This window comes from Homo sapiens, chromosome 15, assembly GCF_000001405.40.
Source record: "Homo sapiens chromosome 15, GRCh38.p14 Primary Assembly".
Classification (NCBI taxonomy): domain Eukaryota; kingdom Metazoa; phylum Chordata; class Mammalia; order Primates; family Hominidae; genus Homo; species Homo sapiens.
In genome coordinates this window covers 99,784,499-99,807,016 of record NC_000015.10, presented here as the reverse complement: position 1 = coordinate 99,807,016, position 22,518 = coordinate 99,784,499, and the positions used below count along the sequence as shown (strand labels likewise).

Here is a 22,518-nt window from a genome sequence, read left to right as displayed (position 1 = left end):
CGCCTCCTCCCACCCAAGCCTCGCGCAGTCCCGGGGGCGGGGCGGGGCCAGCTGAGGGAGGAAGGGGCGGGGACCCGGGGCCTCTACCCGTTAGGCTGCCGTTGGTCCCGAGACTCCCCCATCTGCGCCCCCGCCCTGCCCTGCGAGGCCGCCGCCGCGCGCCCCACCGTCTGTTGCAGTGGAGCGTGAGCCGCGGCTGCGGCTCCTGGTTCTTGTGGAAGGTAGACGCCAGCAACTTCAGCTTGGCCTTAACCCTGACAGGGACATCTTCCCTCATCTCCGGCGGGAGGGGCGCGGAAGGGGAGCCGCTGTCATGGCTGCGACCACCCGGCGGGACCGCCCGGCCGAGCGCTCGCGGCTTCGCCTCTCCCCGCCGCCTCAACCTTCGTGGGAGCGCGGATGGAAAATGGGAAGGGGCACCGAGGCCTCGGCGGGGAGCTGCGCGGCGGCCTCGGGGGCTGCTCCCTTTGCGACCGACGCCACCGATAGGAGGGGCGGCTCCTGTCAAGCCTCAGCTTAAAAGGGCAACAGCGGCCGGGCGCGGGGGCTCCCGCCTGTCATCCCAGCACTTTGGGAGGCCGAGGCGGGCGGATCACGAGGTCAGGAGATCGAGACCATCCCGGCTAACACGGGGAAACCCCGTCCCCACTAAAAATACAAAAAATTAGCCGGGCGCGGGGGCTCCCGCCTGTCATCCCAGCACTTTGGGAGGCCGAGGCGGGCGGATCACGAGGTCAGGAGATCGAGACCATCCCGGCTAACACGGGGAAACCCCATCTCTACTAAAAATACAAAAAATGAGCCGGGCGCGGTGGCGGGCGCCTGTGGTCCCAGCTACTCGGGAGGCTGAGGCAGGAGAATGGCGTGAACCCGGGAGGCGGAGCTTGCAGTGAGCCGAGATCGCGCCACCGCACTCCAGCCTGGGGGACAGAGCGAGACTCCGTCTCAAAAAAAAAAAAAAAAGAAAAAGAAAAAGGACAACAGCACCACCGTCCCCGCTACCGCCTGGGAAAGGGCTGCCCCAACCCTGCCACCTTCCCTGTCACCCCTCAACCCGGCGCGCACCCGTTTTGGCGGTTGCACGAGTCCAGAGCGTGCGCGCGCTCCCGGCTGCCCCCTCCTCCCCTTGACCCAGCACCTTTCTGCCCGACCCATCTAGTCCCTACATTCCTCACACTCGCCTACTGGAGGCTCAGGGCGGCACAACCACCAACTGTAGTGTGTGTGTTTCTCCCGAGTGTGTGTGTGTGTGTCTCCCAAGGGAACAGAGCACTGCTGAGTTCAGGTTGATTATTAGGTCGTGGACTGTCAGCAAAATGCAGTCACAAGAAGGCTGTGGGCTGTTTTGTGTTTTGCGGTGACATCATGTTGCTCATGTTTTATGTTTTTCAGAGTTCATTAGTTTCTATTTGTTCTCAGTTAATATCCACCTCAATAGATTGCATAAGTAGAATACCCCCAAACTGAAAGTCACCTACATAAAATGTAGTGAAAAATATGTCACCCACTTAAACTATAGCTTAAACTATAGTTGAAGTTGTGTACACACTAGTTTTGTGTAGCCAACACTAGGTAATGGGTAAAGGCACAGGATCCTGGGGCTCTACTGCCTGGTTCAATTTCCAACTTTGCCATTTGCTGGCTGTGAAATACTAGACAACTTTAAGCCTCAGTTTCTTTTTTTTTTTTTTAAACTTAATCCCAAATGTGATAGTAAGTCTCAGTTTCTTGATCTGAAAAACAGAAATTATTCAATGAGAGTCTATGTGAAAACATTAAAGTTTTTAAAGCCACTGCCTGGCTCAGGAAAGTCCTCAGCTTTAGCCGTTATTAGCTATGATAATTATTGTGTTGGCTACACGTGCATTAATGAGGTAGGAAAATGCTCAAGGATAACAACCAAGTATCCAGATTATCTCATGAGACCGAGAGAGATGCATATGTGTGCATGCTCATGTTTCAGCTCAGAGCGCTTTGTCTAGAAGGCTCTTGAACTCAGAGGCCCAGGCACTATCAACTTGACTTTGCAGTGGAGGCATCACTTTTGTTGATCAATGAAATTGACATAATGATCATTTTTTTTTTAGCACCGACCATGTGCCGAGAGCTAACTGTGTCAAGAAGAGCATGCTTCAGTTGGCTGGAGTGAGCAATTCAACTTGTGGAGGAGTGAGAAATGTTAGTGTTGAGACAAGAAACGTAAAACCCCAGGGTAAGGTAGGAATCAGTGAAAGGCAGAGGAACTGCCGTCCAGTAATGAGTTAGGCTTTGCTGGCTTCTGGCCCTACAGATGGCTCTTTGGAGAGGAAAAAATTAAGCTAGGCCCGAGGGCACAGATCCTAAGGGAATGCTGGCAGCCTAGGCTGTCTATGGAAGAGAAGCAGAGGGTGGCACCTGGTTGAAAGAGGGGGTTGGGGGACAGAGCTTGAGGCTGTGTTTACAGATGGAGTCCTCTGATTCCTGTGACTGGGGAAGGAGATCGTGCCGGATCAGGGCACCTCAAATCAGAACTCTTCCCACCCACACCCCTTCTTTTCAGGGCGTCTTTCATTGCAAACAGCAGATAAACTAGTTGGAAAACTCAGCAGATTCTCACGGTGGTGCCTAGCAGGCCAGGCCTAGCTGCCGTTTAACCTGTGACTGAGGGTGATGCCACCGGCCTGTAAACACACATTGGAAAATCTTTACGTCCGTGGACACGCCATGCCCCACAGAGACAGCTGTGCATGGTTCTTTAGGTTTGGGGTGCTGTGCTGGCAGTTGCCTGATAAATGTGTAGGATTAAAATGGGATGCCCTGGAGCTTAGCTAACCTTTATCCCCCCTCCCCCCTCTAAAATGAAGGGGCTGCTAGTTTTGTTTGCTTTATGAAAGATGGATCTGTTGTTATTGTTTTTAGAACCTTTGGAGAAAGATTTCTTGGGAGGAAGCGATCCTGAACCCCCAGAGATTTTCTCATTTACTGGTGCACCAGCTTTCGAGTCCTAGGTCTTCATCCTGGCTCAGCCACCCTCCAGCTGTGTGACCTTTGAGAAGTTGCTTGACTACACTGAGTCTCATTGTCACCTATGAGTGGAGGTTGCTACGTTGCTACTGAGTGGAGCACCTACCCCCAGCCACTCTCACAGGGTGATGGTGACGATTAAATGCAATAATAAGGCTGAAGGAGGAGGATCGCTTGAAGCCAGGAGTTTGAGACTAGCCTGGGCAACAAAGCCAGACCACATTTCTATGAAAATGTTTTTTTAAAAAATTAGCTGGACTTGGTGGCTTAGGCCTACAGTCCAGCTACTCGAGAGGCTGAGGTGAGACCACTTGAGCCCAGGAGCTTGAGGCTGCAGTGAGCTGTGATTGCACCACTGCACTCCCGCCCAGGAAACAGAGAGAGACCCTATCTCAAATAAATGAATAAGTAAATAAATAAAATAATAAAATAATGCATGCAATTAGTACACTAGTACGTGATCAGGCACATGATAACTGCTCGATAAATGGTAGCCTCAGTAAACTTTATAATGTTTTAAAGGAGAATGTCCTTTGGACTCAGCCCAGTGACAGAGCATTTGAAAAGACTGATTTGTATGATGGCTATTTCCTACAGATACAAGACTGTACCTCCAGGGACTCAAGGCATTGGCTCAATGGGGCACCTTGTTCTGTTTACTCTTGTTTTGGTCAGCACCGATTGCCCTAGGGCTAAGCAGGACTGCCACCACAGACTCAGTTGCCAAGAGTATCCCCCTCCCCAAGCTAGCCATGGGAAAGCCACTTGCATCGTAAGACTACAGGAAATCAAAGGGAATAAAAAGCACAATTTAGTCACCTACTCTCCAGTTGATGGGCAATAGGTTTTTGCTATTTTGAACAGAGCTGTTAGGAACATTCCTTGTCCACATCACCTGTTTTATATAGGCAAGAATTTCTCTTCCATGTAGAGTAGAATTACTGGGCTGGGAGGAGTGTGAATATTGAACCTTATGAGATGGAGCCAAACTGTTTTCCAAAGTGGTCATACCAGTGTATACTCCCAGCAGCAGTTCTTAAGAGATCTCAGGATGTCTATCTTCTGGTGATTTCACAAGCAGTCAAAAAGAATGAAGGCCAGCAATAAACAACAATAAGAACTTTAGCAATATAATATTGTGAGAAAAACAAATTCCAGGAGGATGCATACAGAATACTTTATATAACATGGAAAAGAAAATGTATATATAGACCCAGCATGGTGGCTCATGCCTGTAATCCTGGCACTTTGGGAGGCCAAGGCAGGAGGATTGCTTGAGGCCAGGAGTTCAAGACCAGCCTGGGCAACATAGCAAAACCCTTTCTCTACAAAAACTAGAAAAATTAGCCAGGTGTGGTGGTGCAGGCATGTAGTCCTAGCTACTCATGAGGCTGAGATGGGAGGATCTCTTGAGTTTAGGTGTTCAAGGTTACAGTGAGCCCATGATTGCACCACTGCACTCCAGCCTGGGCAACAGAATGAGACCCTGTTTGCAAAAGAAAAAAACAAGTAAATTAAGTAAAATTTAAAAACAAAATGTGGGCTGGGCACGGATTCTCAAGCCTGTAACCCCAGCACTTTGCAGGGCCGAAGTGGGTACCTTATGAGGTCAGGAGTTCAATACCAGCCTGATCAACATGGTGAAACCATGTCTCTACTAAAAATAGAAAAATTACCCAGGGTGGTGGTACGCACCTGTAATCCCAGCTACTCAGGAGGCTGAGGCAGGAGAATCACTTGAACCTGGGAGGCAGAGGTTGCAGTGAGCCAGGATTGTGCCATTGCACTCCAGCCTGGGTGACAAAGCAAGATTCCATCTCAAAAAAAAAAATTATTTTTTTAAAAAGATAAACAACATTGACAAACAAAAGGAAACATGACAACTGATACCACAAAAACTCAAAGGATCACTAGTGGCTATTATCAGCAACTATATGCAAACAAATAGGAAAACCTACTAAAAATGGATGAATTTCCAGACACATCCAGACTACCAAGACTGAACCAGGATGAAATCCAAAACCAGAACAGACCAATAACAAATAATGGGATCGAAGTGGTAATGAAAAGTCTCTCAGCAAAGAAAAGCCTGGGACCTGATGATTCACTGCTGAATTCTAGCAAACATTTAAAGAAGAACTAATACCAACCTTACCCAAACGATTCCAAAAATAGAGAAGGAGAGAATACTTCCAAACTCATTCTACAAGGCTAATATTACCCTGATACCAAAACTAAAGATACATCCAAAAAAGAAAACTACAGGCCAGTATCACTGATGAATATTGATGCAAAAATCCTCAACAAAATATTAGCTAATTGAATTCAACAACACATTAAAGTTGGGGTGCAGTGTCCCAGGTTCACTCAACCCTTCCCGTTTTCTTGTCTGTGTGTGTCTACTTTGCTCTGTTCCCTGGTGGCAGCGGCGGTGGCAGTGTTGGTGCATGGGCCTCCCAGGACAAGGGGAAAGTGAGTATGCCCTTTTTTTGCCTCCTGCCAGGCATCTGCAGCCTGGCGCAAGCTCTGGCCAGGTCTTCAAGCAAGGTACCTGGAGATGTTCTTTTCCAATTTCTGGATTGGTAACTTGAGGCAAATTCTGGGCACTAGAATCAGAACTAAGACGAGACATGAATCAGGGGAGTCTGGGGTCCTGAGAGGCAGAGGCCTGAAACCATCTAGAGCATGTGGGGAGCTGGGTGTGTGTTCAGGCCAGTTGCCTTTCTCTGTGCTTCAATGTTCCAGGTACCCTTGGAGGGACTGAGATCCTAGGGATTGCTGGAGCCTGGCTGCATGGCCTGGCCACCCTGATGCCCTTGCGTTCTCCGTGACAGGACAGCAAGGCTGAGGAGAATGGCTCCCACAGCTTCATGCACTCCATGGACCCACAGCTGGAGCGGCAAATGGAAACCACCCAGAACCTGGTGGACTCCTACATGGCCATTGTCAACAAGACCGTGTGGGACCTCATGGTTGGTGCGAAGCCCAAGACCACCATGCATATCATGATCTACAATGTGCATGCACCGCCTCATGGGGGTAGGCGGCTCCTGTGGCACTGAGGATGCAGGTGGCCATGTTGGCCTGGGGGAGATGCTGACCAGCCCTATGGGACCAGGTCCAGGGAGGGAGGCATGGTCCAGACCAGAGCTGTCTCATAGAAATATAACATGGGACTGAGGACAGTGGTCCATGCCTGTAATCCCAGCACTTTGGGAGGCCAAGGCGGGAGGATAGCTTGAACCCAGGAGTTTGAGACCAGCCTGGGCAACATAGTGAGACCTGGCCTCTACACAAAAATTTTAAAAATAGCTGGGCTTGGTGGTGGCACGTGCCTATAGTCCTAGCTACTCGACAGGCTGACATTAGAGGATCACTTTGAGCCCAAGAGGTTGAGGATGCAGTGAGCAGTGATCTTGCCCTCTATACTCCAGCCTAGCGACAGAGTAAGATCCTATCTCCAAAAAAAATTTGAAAAACCTGAGTAGACAGTTGTCCTGGTAGCATGATAGGTCCAGGGTGCCCTCCCAGATCTGTGACTTGCACAGGCGACCTTTCCTCTGGACCTCAGTGTCCCTATCTGAGTGAGAAAAGGGCAATGGGGAGGCAGATCTTTGAGTTTAAGCTGTGTAGAAGCCGCATGTGAAAAGCCATACTCAGGGCTTCAACTCCAGCACACAGTCCCAGCAGGGGCCAGCGGGAGGCCAGGGCAGCACGGGCATCAGGACCCAAACTCCTTCCTTCTTTGCCCACTCTCAGACCAAGGAGTTCATCTTCTCGGAGCTGCTGTCCAACCTGCGCTCGCGTGGGAACGAGAAGACACTCATGGAGGAGTCGGCAGAGTAGGCACAGCGGCGCGACGAGATGCTGCTTCTCAGAGCTGCTGTCCAACCTGCACTCGCTTGGGAACCAGAAGACACTCGTGGAGGAGTCGGCAGAGCAGGCACAGCGGCGCGACGAGACTCGCGTGGGAAGAAATAGACACTCCTGGAGGAGTCGGCAGAGCAGGCACAGCGGCGCGACGAGACTCGCGTGGGAACGAGAAGACACTCCTGGAGGAGTCGGCAGAGCAGGCAGACCAAGGAGTTCATCTTCTCGGAGCTGCTGTCCAACCTGCACTCGCGTAGGGACAAGAAGACACTCCTGCAGGAGTCGGCGGAGCAGGCAGACCAAGGAGTTCATCTTCTCAGAGCTGCTGTCCAACCTGCACTCGCGTGGGAACGAGAAGACACTCCTGGAGGAGTCGGCGGAGCAGGCACAGCGGCGCGACGAGATGCTGCGCATGCACCACGTGCTGAAAGAGGCTCTCAGCATCATCGGCAACATCAACACGAACACCGTCAGCACAGCTACGGGGGCCCGTGGACGACGCCTAGCTGCAGGTACAGAGCGTCCCGGCTGGACCCAGGTACCAGGGCTGGCCCCCACTAGCCCCAAAGCCCCCTAGCCTCCATGGCTGAGCTTGTGGGCTCTTGGAACAGGCTCTGTGCCCAAGCTGGCAGACATGGGCTCTCTCTGGAGCTGTCAGAGAGCTCGTGGTTTATGGTGTAAGGGCTGAGAGCTTGGAGGGGGTTGTGTGCAGGGCTGTACTCTGAGGCGGCCAGAGGCCTAGGAATGTCATCCTGGGCACGCTGTAGCTGTTGTGAAGTCCGAGTCATGCTGCCAGGGCGGGCATCCAGCTCCCAGCCTGGGAGTGCTGAGAGCCAAATCTACTGCAGAGCAGGGGTGATAGTCAGGGTCCCACCTCCTCTATCTGTTGACAATCCAGTGGTGATCTAAGATAAAAACTTGAGAGTCCCATACACACGGTCAACCCACAACACACCTCACAGGCCAGGCAGGGACACACAGTCCCCTTCCCTCCCTCCCAGGTACCATCATAGCTGATAGCGTGTGGCTGAAGGCAGGGTCCCTGGCCCCCACTGAAGCACTACCGCCAGCCAGCAGACTCACGCACCTTGGCCTGTTGCTTCTAGAGGTTGCCTCTGCTATTCAGCCGAGGGGACCATAGTGCATGCTGGCCCGGCTGAGCTCCACCCAGCAAGCCCACCCACCTCCCTTGCCATGGACTCTCCCTCTTCTGCTTTTCCCAGCAGGAAGGGCCCAGCCTCACCTTTGTGACCTGCAACCCCCAACAAGCTGAGGCTCCCCTCTTAGACTTATAAGTCTATAGCCAGTGGCATCCAGCTGCCTATCCTCCCTACCTCCCCCAGGGTCCCCTCAGAGGGTCCTGGGCTTTCTGACTGCCCAAAAGGGGCTCCGGCAATCACTCCAGCCATCCATCCCTTTTAGCTTCATCATCCTGGTTCAAGCAGTGTTCCTTCTGTATCAGGCCTGGTGGCTGTTGTTTTGGGTTCCCAAAAGCAAGAGGTGGCCCCGGGCCAGTGGGTTCAAAGACAGGGTGACCAGAGAAGAGGGACACTGGAGGGGGCTGAGCATTGCTCTGAACGGTGGGTGCACTGCCCTGGGTGCCCTGAAAGATGCCAGCGTGTGTGGGGTGGGGAGGGCCGCCGCAGCCCCCAGGCACTAACTGTGGAGCATTGCTCTGAACGGTGGGTGCACTGCCCTGGGTGCCCTGAAAGAGGCCAGCGTGTGTGGGGTGGGGAGGCCGCCGCAGCCCCCAGGACTAACTGTGGAGCTCTCCTCCCTCCTTCTTCCTCCCCTTTCCTTTCCAGCCCCACTTTCCCAGGAGCCTTGCCATACCCGCACCTGCGCCCTCCCCGCCCCAGCCCTCCCACAGCTGCTGTGGCACGCCTGTCTCTGCCTTGCCTCATCAGCTCTCTGCTCGCTTTTCTCTCTCCTGCTTCTCTCTGCTTTCTCTCCAACTGCCAGCTGATTGGGTCAGGCAAGACCATCCCATCCTCAGAGCCCCAGCCCCCACTTCGACCTCTAAACAGATCCCTCCTCTTCTCAGAGACCTCCCTTTCCAAGCCTGCCTGAGCGGCTGTTCTGTGACTTGACAGTGGCTCCCCCAGCCTCAAAGCCAGCCCCCTACATCTGTGACTTAGTCTGTTGTGGTGAGCTGACACATCCAGGTGTGACCACTGCTGAAAACTTGTGCCCCCTTTGTGATATGCCCCGTCCTGCTCTATAAATATCTATAAATACATATATATATATATATATACACACACACACACACACACACACACACACACACACATGCAGCAACACCTGGCCGACCGCCTCGTCTCTAGCGCTGGGAATCAGTCACCCTGCTGTCCTTTTGGAGTCTTGTGGCCCAACAAGAGAAAGCTGTCCCCTGACATTGCTCCTCCAAAGTGCGCCACCTCCAGTGAGCCTCCCTGTCATGCCCAGCCTGTGGACAGCCAGCCCCGCCATCCCTCCCACCCCCCACCAAGCATGGGGGTGCTGTGCAGGCCTCTGTGTGGCCTGACAGTCTCTACCAGTCCTGCTGTCCCTTGGCTGAGAATCAAACCCATTTCTGGATGGCAGGGAAGTGTGTCCTCTGCTGGCTGTGTTCTGTGTGGAGCTCAGAGGACGGGAAAGGCCAAGCCATTTCTAGGGTGCTGTTGGGAGCTGTGAAAAGGTCACACCCTTTCCAAGGGACACTTTTCCTGGAAAGCCCCTGGAGCTTAGCTGGCTCTTATCCTGTGAAGCCGGCTCTGGCCACCAGGGGGCAGGGCCGTGAACTCAGCCTGGAGGGAGCCTGAGGGGCAGCCGGCACTCTGGAGGGACACAGACATAACAGGCCACCAGGTGCAGACAGGAGAGGGAGGCAAGGGGATGGAACGGAAGACACCTGGGGTGGGTGGAAGTCAGTGCCGTTAGGTGCTGGTGCCTGTCTTCCCGGCCATGGCTAGATCACGCTTCTGAGCCTGTTGGCTGTCAGGGCCGGGCTGCGCCCCATAGGTGCCATGGCAGTCCCCGTGGACTCCCCCAGGCGTCACCAGGCAGCATACAGGTAACAGGCCTGGAAGGTCCCCAACAGCCCAGCTGGACACGCTCAGACACTCCAGGGCTTCTCGTTCAGTGGCACAAACACCAGGACCCAGTGAGGGAAATGGGAACACACCAGGCTGAGCAGTATGGCTAAATCCGTTTATTCCAAAATAAAAAGCAAAATAAACAGGAGTCGCATCACCAGGAGCCATGACCCCATCCCCGCCTCCTTTCTTTGTCCTATGCTAGCAATACATAAGTTTCCCAGCCACAAATAATGATCAGACCCTCCTCCCCATGTGCCAGCTCCAACCTCCTCTAGGTACGATACAGGGGCGGCCCTACCCTCTGGAATATACAAAACGTTACATAGATACAATATGTACACCGGGGAAGGGGGGCCACCCCAGCAGCCCGTGCCCTCACCTGGTCCACAGTTAGCCCCACTGTCCCGCCTCAGCTGCCTCTCTGAATAAGAAGATGGGAGCCCCCCCGAGGGAAAAGTTACTATGGTGAGAGTAAGGAGGCCATCAGACCTCCTCCAAACAAACCACCTCTGCCAGCCTCTGGCTCTTAAATAACAATCATCATCATCCAGAAATTTAAGGACTCAGCCCTGGTCAAGGCGGCAAAGGGTCTGTCTTTCCCCATTAGACAGAGGTCTTGTGTGGCTACCCTAATTGTAAAGGGGTGCCTGGGAAGGGGTGGTAGGGTCATGGTGGCAGTGGAGACTCCAGCCCTACTTCTCCAGGCTTTGCTGACAGAGGCCTGCTTTTAATTTTTGTTTTTATCCCATGACTTTTTTTAAAATCCCGTAACTTCTTTTTCATAACTTTTTTTGTAACTTTTCATAAAATTTTTTTCTACTTTTTTGCCACAACTTTTTTACATTTTTTTAATCCCATAACTTTTTCACTCCATAACATTTTTTAATCCTGTAACTTTATTTTGTGTTCTTTTAACAAACACTTGCATAGCTATATTACAATTTTGTAAAAATGAAACAGATTATCTCATGCCAAGCATGCCCAGCATTCGCACAGTATCAACACCTTTAATACTATAGTTTTCCAAGACATGCAAAACAAAATTTTAAGGCAAAAACAGCACTTTGTAACAATTTAATAATTTATTACATTACAGTAGCATCACACTAGCAGTCAATAATGCCACTTTAGGCAAAAGTTTTTCAGTATTTCCATTATACCTTCTGTTTACAAGAATTCATAAATTGGTAAAATTCATTCTAAGAAAACTTGGCAAATAAAGCTTTGGACTGGAATTGGCATTTCTTTCTCTACTTTTCCTTCCCACCGTTTCTTTCTTTTAAACTATAGTATTCATATTTTAAAATGTTTTATTTCAGAACTTTAAGATAGCAGTTACATTTTTTAGTAGTTACATTATTTTTAAATGACTCTTTAAGATAATGTTTTAGAGAAACTATATTATGGATAGGGCTGATTTACCTTTTCAAATTTTCTAAAAATCAGCTTTGGTTTTAGAACTGATTTTTTTTTCATTTCTGGAAAACCTATCAGGTTTAATCAAATACTTCTTTAAAAATAATTATTATATATTGCAATCTTTAAATAGGTGTTTTGATTCTTCCTGCAGAAATTCAAATTTATTCAGCTGAACTAGCATTTTGAAATTCCTTGGCTCAATGAGGTATCGCAAAAGACTGTATGCACTTTGAAGAAAGACAAGTTAGTCATACGATTTCCATTCTTTTTAGCTTTCTCTTAAATATATGACAAATACCTACACAAAGAGTGGTATTTCAGTTAATATAGTAAATTTATTTCCAGACTGACATTCAGCTTAAATATGCCAATATGTGATTTAATCCATAGGCACCTGATGAACACATTATTGTCAGATTGGTTACAGATGCTAAATGCTATCTGAAGGTCATTCCTAGTCATTGATATTTATCAGGGTAAAAGTGAAGTGATTTCAACAATAAAAGTACCTTTGAAATAATTTACCAATGTATTAGATAAACCCAGTTTCAGAATGATAAAGAAAAAACGTTAGACCAAATAGATGTGGCTAATTAACAGTGGTATGATTTCTAGCCTGAGGGTTTAAAATGGACTTAAAGTAACTGTCTTTAAATTGAACTCAAAGAATGCAAAAGCAGCAAGTTCAGAAAATAAAAGGCAAGAACAGGACTTTAGGTCCATTTTAAACCCACGGGCTAGAAATCGTACCACTGTTAATTAGCTGTGTTATTTGGTCTAACATTTTTTCTTTATCATTCTGAAACTGGGTTTATCTAATACATTGATACATTCATACAATTTGGAAGAGTCAGTTGAAGTCACAAGGACCCAATATTTGCGCTCTTTCAGTGAATGCAGGCAAATCTGTTATTCCATCGGTAAAATCGTATTGTTGCTCTCCTGTTAATGTCATATTTAGAAAAGTATCATGAGGACGCCAAATGCTAAAAATGGAGATGGTCTAGTAACTAGAAATCCCCACCCCAGGGAGCGCATATACACATCTCCCTACATCCTAATAATGTGATGTGTTTTGGAACACAGACATTAGAACTTCATGAAGTTTGAACTGTTGAGTCTTTCCCAAGCATCATCAAGTTATGATTTAGGCAATGTATGACTGAAATCATTTGTTCATCATGCATAGGCACAATCACATAAATATTGCACAAAATATGTCCCTAACTGAAACTGAGAGGTACAAAAACATATTTCACTCTTAGTAAACAAGTTTGTGAGGAAATATAACTCTGTGATTGTATAGACACATTTCCTGATAATACATTGACATTCACAAACAGTAGACTGCACTGCAGTTTATAAACATTTTAAATTGCATAAACATCTCCTTGATTATCAAATATAGTATAATACTGTCTACTAAAACTCCTTTTTGTTTCAACTAAGTACTCTCACATATATTAGTTTATAATAATGTTTGTTATTATTTTTTAAAGTGTTTTCCATTCAAGGAAAAGAAGTAAATTCCTATGTCAGAGTAACCAAGGTGGTTGAAGAATAGGTATTAGCCAGAGAGGTGTAGATGGTAAAAATCAATCTTCAAGCCTCAAAGAAGCTCCATGAACAGAGAGGAATGCCAGGTGTCACAAGCTTTCCTTCACTCTAATTCATTCTTGACTAGAGCCTGTATGCCTGTTCCAGGGACATTTAAACTCCTAAAGGATTTCTTATGATCTTTACTAAATAAGAAGAATGCCAGCCAGCACTCTTTTGTGTACTGGGACATGTGGTCATGTGATTAAAACAGGTAACATCAACTCTGACTTTAAAATGTATTATAGACACAAATGCTCTAAGCTAGGAAAGGTTTTCCACATCTACAGTCAATGAAGGGAGCCTTTCGTTCCTCAGAAATGATCAGTTTTTAGGTCATCGAGAAAGAGTACAACTGCTGCAGCTCATGATGCAATATCTTCATGAGCCCAGAGCACATACAAATCCGAAGGGAACTACCATAGTACAGCGCTAATTGTTGGCACCGGAACAAATGAAACACACTCTATCCTGCACAAACCTGCCACAGCAGGCCACTTTCCTCTTCTGTGAGATTTTAAAAGCTCCCCCAAAATGTTATTACTCCCATCACCAATACACAGAAAATAGGGGAAAGGCTGTTTCCAGTTCTCGGCCTTTAAACAACTCTAAATGTCAGTACTCATAGTGGCATATTACAAAGTAATAAACAGTGCACACCTGGGGGCAAACCACATATTGAGCTAATGAAGAGCTCACTGTGATTAAGATTAGATCAAACAATAGCAGAACATAAGCAAATTTTATCTGAATTCCGTAATGAACATACATGCTGCGATAACATTAAAAAAGCATGGCAGCCTATTCCAAACCAGCAATAATAATTTTGTGCAAATAGTGGGTCTTTGTGTATTTGAACTCCCACCACGTAAGGGCAAACTCGATATGCATGCTAATGACCTACAACTATGAAACTAAAAAAGAAAAATGCTGAAGGATGCCAGAGTAAACATCAGTGAAAGCCACAGAGACCCACTCTCCTTTAACTTTTTACAAATAAACTATAAATTACAAATAATCATGAGTGGCTCTAACATTCAAATGAAGTAAATGAATTGGGTAGGAGATGAACCCCATAACTTTGTTTCCTTTTTTAAAATTTCTTGAGCAGCTCTTTGATGATGGTGATGTTTATCTCCTTCTTCTCAGCAGCCAAGCCCAGCAAAAGAATGGCATACGGGAGTTGCTGCACAAGCCTGGGTGCTCCACGCTGTCAGTGAGGCTCACCTCACAAAGATCTTTGGAGAGAAGGAGGTGGGGATCCGAGTGCAGTGAGAGCCTCCCCTGCCCCTGCCTGCCCACCCTGCCTGAGGACTCTACTCACCACCATGCTTATCAGCACCCACAAGCTCCTGGGGGGCTGGGGCTCCTGGACCAGGCTCATCAGCAAGCTTCAGGGCAGTGGCCGGGAATTTGCTGTGTCCCTCGTTGTAGTCACCACAAGCCGCAACATCTTCTCCAGCAGCTCCAGCAGCTTCACCTGGAGGGAGGGGTGCTCAGCTGTTATGCATCTACCGGCGCCCACCCTCACGCCCACCCCCACCCCTGCAGAGATGTTGCACACCCTACCTTCATCTCCTCCATGTCCTGGGCCAGCCTGATGATGTCCTCCTCCAGTTGCCGCATCTTTGGCACTGCCCCCTGGCTGTGTTCTAGGGTGATGAACTTTCCTGCAGGAGGACAGGGCTCAGACGCTGAGGTCCCTCCGACGGCCCTGCAGCTCCCCCTGCCGTGCCCTGGCCTCCCACTAACTGATGACTTCTGTCTTTCCAGTACTGGATGAATCGAAGTTCTAGTTTCTCCGCTCGCTCCCTCAGGTCCACCTTCTCCTCCAGGAGGTCCATAAGGCCACTCTGGAGCCAAAATAATGGGGTCACATCTCGGCAGCAACACCCACCCCTGCCCTTCTTGGCCCATGCCAGGACTCAGTCACCTCCAGCTTCTCCATGACCTCCTGCATGGCCCGGTGGGTCTCCCCACTCACAGACTGGCCCCTAGTCACTGGGGCTGGGACCGCTGCCTCTGGCTTCTGCTGGGCCGAGGCCACCAGGTGAGCCATGCGCTGGCAGCACACCCTCTGCTCTTTCACCTGCTCTCATAACCGTGCCTGCTCCTCCTGGGCATTGGCTCCAGCGGAGTTGAAAAATGCAACCTGAGGGCAAGAGGTGAGCATTCTTGTAGGGGCATACACAGAACGAACGGGGCAGAGAGGTGGAGTGCAGCCTCTTCCCTTGGGGCCTCAGAGAGTGCATCTGTTGGTCACAGGTGAAATGGTGTCTGACCACTGGCTCCTGGAAGGGATGAGGGTCCAGAGAAATCAGAAGGCAGGGAAACCAAGAGCATAAAGGGGTCTTGGAGGGACCACAGAGGAAGGTGGCAAAATGGGTACAGGGGGAGTCAGGCTCACCGTGGCCTCCCAGCTCTCCAGGTCCTCTGGGTTGCTTGGCATGGGCCGAGGTGCCTCCTCCTCACTGTCCAGATGTCCTCCTCTATCTCCTGTGGGGGGTGGCCAGAAGGGTCCTCAGACAGCCCAATAAGGGAGGTACTGTGGGCCCACCTCTGCCTCCACCCTCACTGTGTAACACTGAGCCAGCCACTACCCAGAGAGCAGCTGCTGTTCTTTATTTTTACTTTTAAGAACCAAGATCAGGCATAGTCCCACTACCAGTCGATGTGGGAGTTCTGACCCGCTCCCTTTCTGACCTGGGCCAGTTCAGCCATCCTTAGGCAACTTGGTGGCCCCCCGCTCCCAGGAGGACATCATATTGATGCCAAACTTAGTGCGGGCACCCGGTCGGCATAGGGACCAGCTGTTCTAAAGGTCTCTTCCAACCTTTGCCTTTTTCTTTGCTGCGGCCAATTTGCTCTGTTGAGTTTCTTCTGCCATTGCGGGGTGGGGAGGGAGGCGGGGTTGGGGCCACGTGAGCAAAATCCCAGTGAGCACTGATGAACACCTCCACTTGCCTACCAGGCAGCTGTGTGACTGAGCCCGAGGAGGCACAACTAGGGCCCCCATAGAATGCAGAACAGGGGCGTGGCCTTAATGCTCCAAGCCCATTGGTCAATGACAAAGATGAAAGGGAAAGGGGGTGTGGCCAGGCAGCAGTATGTCCAGAGGGACCTGTGGCTCACAAGGAAAGCTGTCCATGCAACTGCTGTCCCCGCCTACTCTGAGGGGAGGGGCCGCCCCCTCTGGGAGAGGGGAGGGGCCGGCTTTTGCTTTAAAAGCTTTAAAACTTTAAAAAATATATGTGTGTATACTTTATGTATATGTGTGTGTGTGTGTATCTATGTGTTCCTCCAGAGCTGTCTTCATTATCCAGCTTCTATGCAAGGTCTACGATTTTGGCCTATATTTTTCATCTTCAAACACAGTACAAAAATTACCAGTATTACCATAACTGAGATAAAGATCCTATAAAAATGGAAAATCCATAGCATGCTTGATGATTAACGAAGCAGACTATATTATCCAACATTCCAATAAGATAAAATAATCACAAGTTTCTTTTTTTTGGAAAAAGGTTTCTCTTATTCTCCTATGTTATTGTTAAAAAATTTTTTCTTAAACAAGAAACATGTCTAATATCTGTAACAACACAAAGCTTTTGGGCCAGATGCGGTGGCTTGCGCCTGTAATCCCAGCACTTTGGGAGCCCGAGGCGGGTGGATCACCTGAAGTCAGGAGTTCGAGACCAGCCTGGCCAACATGGTGAAACCCCATCTCTACTAATAATACAAAAACTAGCCAGGTGAGGTAGTGGGTGCCTGTAATCCCAGCTATTCAGGAGGCTGAGGCAGTAGAATCACTTGAACCCGGGAGACGGAGTTTGCAGTGAGCCAAGCTCACACCACTGCAGTCCAGCCTGGGTGACAGAGCGAAACTCCATCTCAAAAGAAATAAAATAAAATAAAATACAAAATAAATTTAAAGAGCTTTCAATTTAATAAGCACTCAAAGCTCTTTACTGGTTTAAAACAAATACAAGGCTCATTTTTCTAGAATCACCTGGCCTCTCTAAGCCTTGCAAATGAAACTGAATTTCTCACTTGATACTTGCCTGTGACTTGCAATCATGAAAACCAAGAATTGTGTTATGTCACTGTGTACTGCTTGTTACCTGAATTCCACACTAGGCTGGGCTCAAGGGTTGAATCTTTCAGATTAGCTCCATAACCTGTATGCTTCTTATCCCAGACCAAACCAAGTTTTTGTCTAGAGTTCTGCAATTTACAGTTAGTAGAGAAGAGTAATGTAGTCTCTGGACTAGCAGCACCAGCAGCACCTGAGAACTCTTTATAAGTGCAAATTCCCAGGCCCTACCCTGGACCTGGCGAATCAGAAACTCTGGAGTAGGGCTCAGCAATCTTTGCTGCAGTAATCCCTCCAGCTGTTTAAGAACCTCTGCCATACAGCAGGTAGAAAAATGTGTTTCCTTCTCTAGGTCCAAAGCCAGGGATACCATATGTTCTGTCTTGATACGAAACAATGACATGCAATTAAAACACATAACACGTAACTCTCCTACCTACTCCCACCCTCCATCCAATATGTTTTATTTTTATGAGTTCCATAAGAAAACAAGCAGCAATCAGAGGTTTACTCTAAAAAGTATGTTTACAAGTATCAGTTCTCATCCAGCCTGATCTCATACAAAACCATTTACATCCTCTTACTGCTAAAGTTTTAAAAAAGTATCTTCACAATGTAAGACTCAGGCACACTAGGAGTTCTATAATAAAACACCAAGTAGATTGGAATGTCCAAACTTACTAGAGAAGAAAAGTGGAATCATTGGCTATATTTTCAAATTGCATTCAAAGGAAATTTAAGTTCCAAATTTATTCACCTTCATACTTCCAAGTTAATAGAATTCAACCAGAACACTCCATTCCTTCAAAGCCTCTAGCCAGGCAAAGTTTTACTGTATTACTTCTTGCTTTCAATGGATATAAAGCAGAGTCCTGGTAGGCATTTTGTATACCTGCAGAGATGCAGAACTAAACAGTTCCATCTGTTCCATATTAAAACAAAAGTCCTGTAAACCTTGGGTGGTGAGTTTAATACTTCAGCACTAGCACCAAAGCCTCAAATAGGAAAAGATACCAAGAACACCGCTAGCAAACAAAACTAAACTCTCGGTCAGGAGCAGTAGTTCGCACCTGTAATCCCAGCACTTTGACAAGCCAAGGCGGGAGGATTACTTGAAGTCAGGAGTTCAAGACAAGCCTAGGCAGCATAGCAAATTCACATCTCCACAAAAAATTTTAAAAAATAGCTGGGCAGGGTGGCACACACCTGTAGTCCTAGCTACTCGGCAGGCTGAGGTGGGAAAATTGCTTCTGCCCAGGAATTTGAGGTTGCAGTAGCTATGATTATGGCACTGCACTCCCAGCCTGGGTGACAGAGCAAGACCTAGATAATTACATTCTCTCCTCCTCCTGTTTACACTAAAATCACTAAGCTAAAATGCTTTGAAATTTGGCAGGATAAAAGTTAAGTGAAATGTGACTTTGGAGTTTGGAAGGAGAAAGAAAGAAGGAAGGAAGAAAGGGAGGGAGGGAAGAAAGGAAGGAAGGAAGAAAGGAAGGAAAGAAGGAGAAAAGGAAAAGGAAAAGAAAGGAAAGGAAGAAGGAAGGAAGAAGAAATGGAGGGAGGGGAGGGACAGAGGGAGGGAAGGAGGAAAGGAAAGAAGCAAAGAAGGAAGGAAGCAGAAAAGGAAAAGGAAGGAAGGAAAAGGAAAGAAAGGAAGGAAACGAAGGAAAGGAAGGAAACAAAGGAAAGAAAAAGGAAAGGAAAAGAAAGTAAAGAAAAAAAGGAAAGGAATTAATATACATCCAACCATTAAAAATGATGACGCCAGAAAATATTTACTGCAACAGAAATATGCCCAAAATATAGTAAGTGACAAAAGGCTATCTATTATGATTCTACTTTTTAAAATGTTTATATGCATAAAAAAGTATAAAAAGCAACAAACCAGAATGTTTTGAATGGCAAGTTAAAGATTTTTCTTAATATTTGTCATCCAAATTATTATAATCAGGGAGAAGTGTTTTCATTTATTTATATTTATATCTCTTTTCTTTTTCTTATTTTTTCTCCCATGTGTATCCCATGTAGGCTAGAATCCCCGCCTCTTGAGGGAAACCAGCCCATTTTTGGGAAGTGCACTACATAAAGCTGCCCATCTTCCTTTGAAGAGATCTGGAAACATTTTTGTTTCAAATTGTTTTATTGTTCTCAGAATATATACATATATATATATGTTTTTAATATATGGAATTGAGGAAAAGACAAAGGAAAGGCTGACTCCCTACCACCCTCCTGGGGCTACTCTTCCAATTTTTGCTGCTATTGTTATGTATTAATATTCACTGGGTACTAAGAAGATGGGCAGCCCCTTAGATCCTTTTTTCTTATCTCTTTCTCATAATCCTACTTCATTCCTTCATTCACTCATTTTTAAAAGCGTCATATGTACAAATATATAGTCCAGAAAATTTTTAAATATAACTGTCTATAAAAGTATGTGGCAAAATCCCATTCACAGTCTTATTCTCCTTCCACAGCCAAACACTTTTAATTCATTTCTTATATATCATTTCAGAATTTATCTTTGCAAATACACATGTATATTCTTATTCTACCCTTCTCTCTCAACACAAAAAGTAGCATACCACACATACGATACCATTCCTTCTCCCTTTTAAAAAACACACAGAATATATCCGAGTTCTACGTGAGTACAGAGTCTTTCTCATTCTTTTCAGCTACACAGTATGCATCATTTGGATGTACCACAGTTTACTTAACCAGTTCCCATTTGGCAGACACTGAAATCATCCCTATCATACTATTACAGGCAGTAATGCCAAGCATAACCACCTATACACACCAAGTTCATTGCTGAATCTGCCTTTGATGAAGCCTCTGTTTGAATCACCATAATGTCACAAGGCTGAAAAGTTAGCCCCTTTTTTAGTTTTCATTATGTACTGCAGTATGTAGCAAAAGACTCCCTCGGGCAAAGGAAATGTACTCTTTGGGGATTTACTTCATAACAATAAATGGATAAACAGAACACCAAGGATAACTGTTTATATTTAACCATGAACATGTATGTATACAATACATGCATATGCGTAGAAAGTATAAAATAAATAAATCCATCAAAGCATTAAGTGTTGTCTCAGTATGGTGGATCTAGGGAGTGCTTTGTAGACCGCCCTCTTTGCCTATCCTTTCTAATTTCACAACGGTAAATACGTATACTTTTGCAATATAAAATTTCAAAAAATGTTAACTCAAATTAAGCTGCATGTATTCCTTCAGTCTGTCCTATATTTGTATGATGCTCCAGAATGCTCAAATAACACTTCATTAAAAAAATTTATTTCTTCAAAAACTTACTTTTGTGAAGATTTCTGTGAATGTCTATGTGTTAGATCACAGTGAAGAAGCTCAGGCATTTGCATGCTTGACTCACAAGGAGACTCCAAATGTGGAGCTGGAGGGTGAAAGAAGCTCTCACCTGTTCCCAGACTTGCCACAATAGGTGGTTCTGTTTTTACAGAAAGTGAGTGATGCAGAAATATTTTGACAGCTCATTTGTTCAATCATTGTGTTCCTTTGGACTTAGATTCCAGATAATTGGGACCCTCTTAGCTGGTGGCTAGCATGAATGAAGTATTGTTGTAAAAATGCGAACGGAGGTACATATATGAATGGAAGCATATTTTGCACAGAAACCATCGGTTTGGGATTCTGAAAGATCAGGAATGAAATGCTAGGCCCATAACTTCCTCCTGTGTGATCCTGGACATATTACTCCTTCTGTATTTATTTTAGATTTTTCAACCTTAAAATGAGTACGATAATATCATCTTAATCTTTCCTTTCACTTCTATCCCCTTCTCTTTCTAGGAATATTTATTGGAAGTTTGTTCTCTTTCCACTTTGCTGGCTGCTTTAAGATACAAGTTGAGTAAAACCAGTGCTACTCCTGGTCTGCTGGAAATTTCAGGCTAGTAAGGTTGTTATGAAGATTAAATAAGATAGCATACGTAAGTTAGTTCATGTGCAGTGTTTCAATAAGTATTGAGACCCTTTCTTCTTCTGAAAGGTTTATGAATCTCTTAGGGCATTCTATTCAGAAGATCCAAATACCTCTTGCCAGTTGCCCAAATAGAACAACTTGTTCAGAGCCTAGGAGAGCAGGGTCAATAGATGAATACTTTACAACACCTAAGAAGTTTGACACTTAATTCTGGTCTTTAAATGACTTTATTTTGTTGCTTATTTGTAGATGACTATATAGAGTGACAAAAAAGTGGAATGCACTATCCGAGCTATAATAAGATAGATCTTGTAAGTGTAAGCATTTTAGACATCAACTCAGTATAAAGTTTGACTTGAATGGAAATGTTATGTCTGAGGGTTCCCAGTTTTGCTAATGACACACTTAATTGACAATATAATTGTGACACTGAAGAGTGTGAAATTAAAATCTTAGGAAGTATGCAAACTAATAGCATGATTCTTTGTGTGAACAAAGCAGTTTAACTGAATAGTACCTTATTTATGATTGGCTTTTCATACCTAGATAATTCTGTCTGGTATCTAATGGAAAAACTGATCTAAAAATGATTAACGACCATTTGCCACTTTAATAAAAATTGTCAAAAACAGATATTGATGATATTTCTAAAAATTATTAAGGAGAATAGAGCAGCATTTCACAACTAGATTCCAACGATTGTGGTCTGGACAGCACAAACCACATATTTTCATCCATTGTCTAGATCTTTATTAGGTCTAATGCATTTATAATATTTTTGCAAGTTTATATTTTTAATTATTGCTAGTACCTCAATGCCCAATAGAGATGATACAACTAACCAATAACCAATAAGATACAGACTTTGAGTTTTGTGTTTCAGAAGTTATGGGTTGCAATGTTTTATTTATACTCGGTGACACTGTTTCTCTTCAGCTCCAGTGTAGTGATTGAAGCCTTCTACCAGGTAGAGGACTGGGTGACTAAGTATGTATGGCATGGGCCACAGAATAGACAAGACTTAGTCCTGTGCTTTTGGACTAATGGTCTGGTGTGCTGACCAAATAAGCATTTCAAAACAAGTGATTCTCATCAGTATCATGATGTGTTCTCTTAACAGATTGAGGATTTTATTTTTCAAATAGGAAATGGCTAATTTATTTTAAACTATGTATCACAGTTTCAAATTCCAAACAGTGTCTTAAAATGATATGAATAATTAAGTTTATAATTTAGCTTTAAAAACTTATGTAAATTGTATATTGACACTGACGGGATAGAAATCTACAATGGAACTTTTAATTCCTTTATGTTTTTATAGTGTCATCATAATACAATAAAATTACTGCTCTATTGCATTGGAAGTATATGCTCATTAAGGAAATGGCCAGGAAAAAAGTATTCACCTATTCAGGGAAATTTTAACATGAGATATTTTGCCTTAGTGTGTATATCACTTGAACTTCCTTTGAACTCTGTGCACTACTTGC

General features: G+C 45.9%; 1 long non-coding RNA gene and 2 pseudogenes across 2 annotated transcripts, besides 1 other annotated feature; 1 reads left to right on the top strand and 2 right to left on the bottom strand.

The window, feature by feature from the left end:
* Nucleotides 1-89: 89 nt before the first annotated feature.
* DNM1P46 (dynamin 1 pseudogene 46) lies at nt 90-16,237 on the top strand (annotated as a pseudogene). Its single transcript, NR_003260.2, has 5 exons — nt 90-221; nt 2,088-2,217; nt 5,838-6,042; nt 6,763-7,385; nt 14,121-16,237. The product of NR_003260.2 is annotated as a dynamin 1 pseudogene 46 (transcript).
* Nucleotides 704-1,075: a silencer, noted in NCBI's record as "fragment chr15:100346147-100346518 (GRCh37/hg19 assembly coordinates)". NCBI's record gives its function as "represses an EF-1alpha promoter that drives an FKBP-Casp9 reporter gene in an ReSE screen in K562 erythroleukemia cells {active_cell/tissue: K562}" and the evidence as "EXISTENCE:reporter gene assay evidence [ECO:0000049][PMID:32094911]".
* On the bottom strand, nt 10,052-15,461 carry LOC124903563 (uncharacterized). The gene is made up of 3 exons (XR_007064776.1): nt 15,376-15,461; nt 14,538-14,638; nt 10,052-14,448 (listed from the first exon to the last, which is right to left on the bottom strand). It is a non-coding gene; the product is annotated as an uncharacterized LOC124903563 (long non-coding RNA).
* On the bottom strand, nt 15,607-15,808 carry RN7SL484P (RNA, 7SL, cytoplasmic 484, pseudogene; annotated as a pseudogene).
* Nucleotides 16,238-22,518: the final 6,281 nt, after the last annotated feature.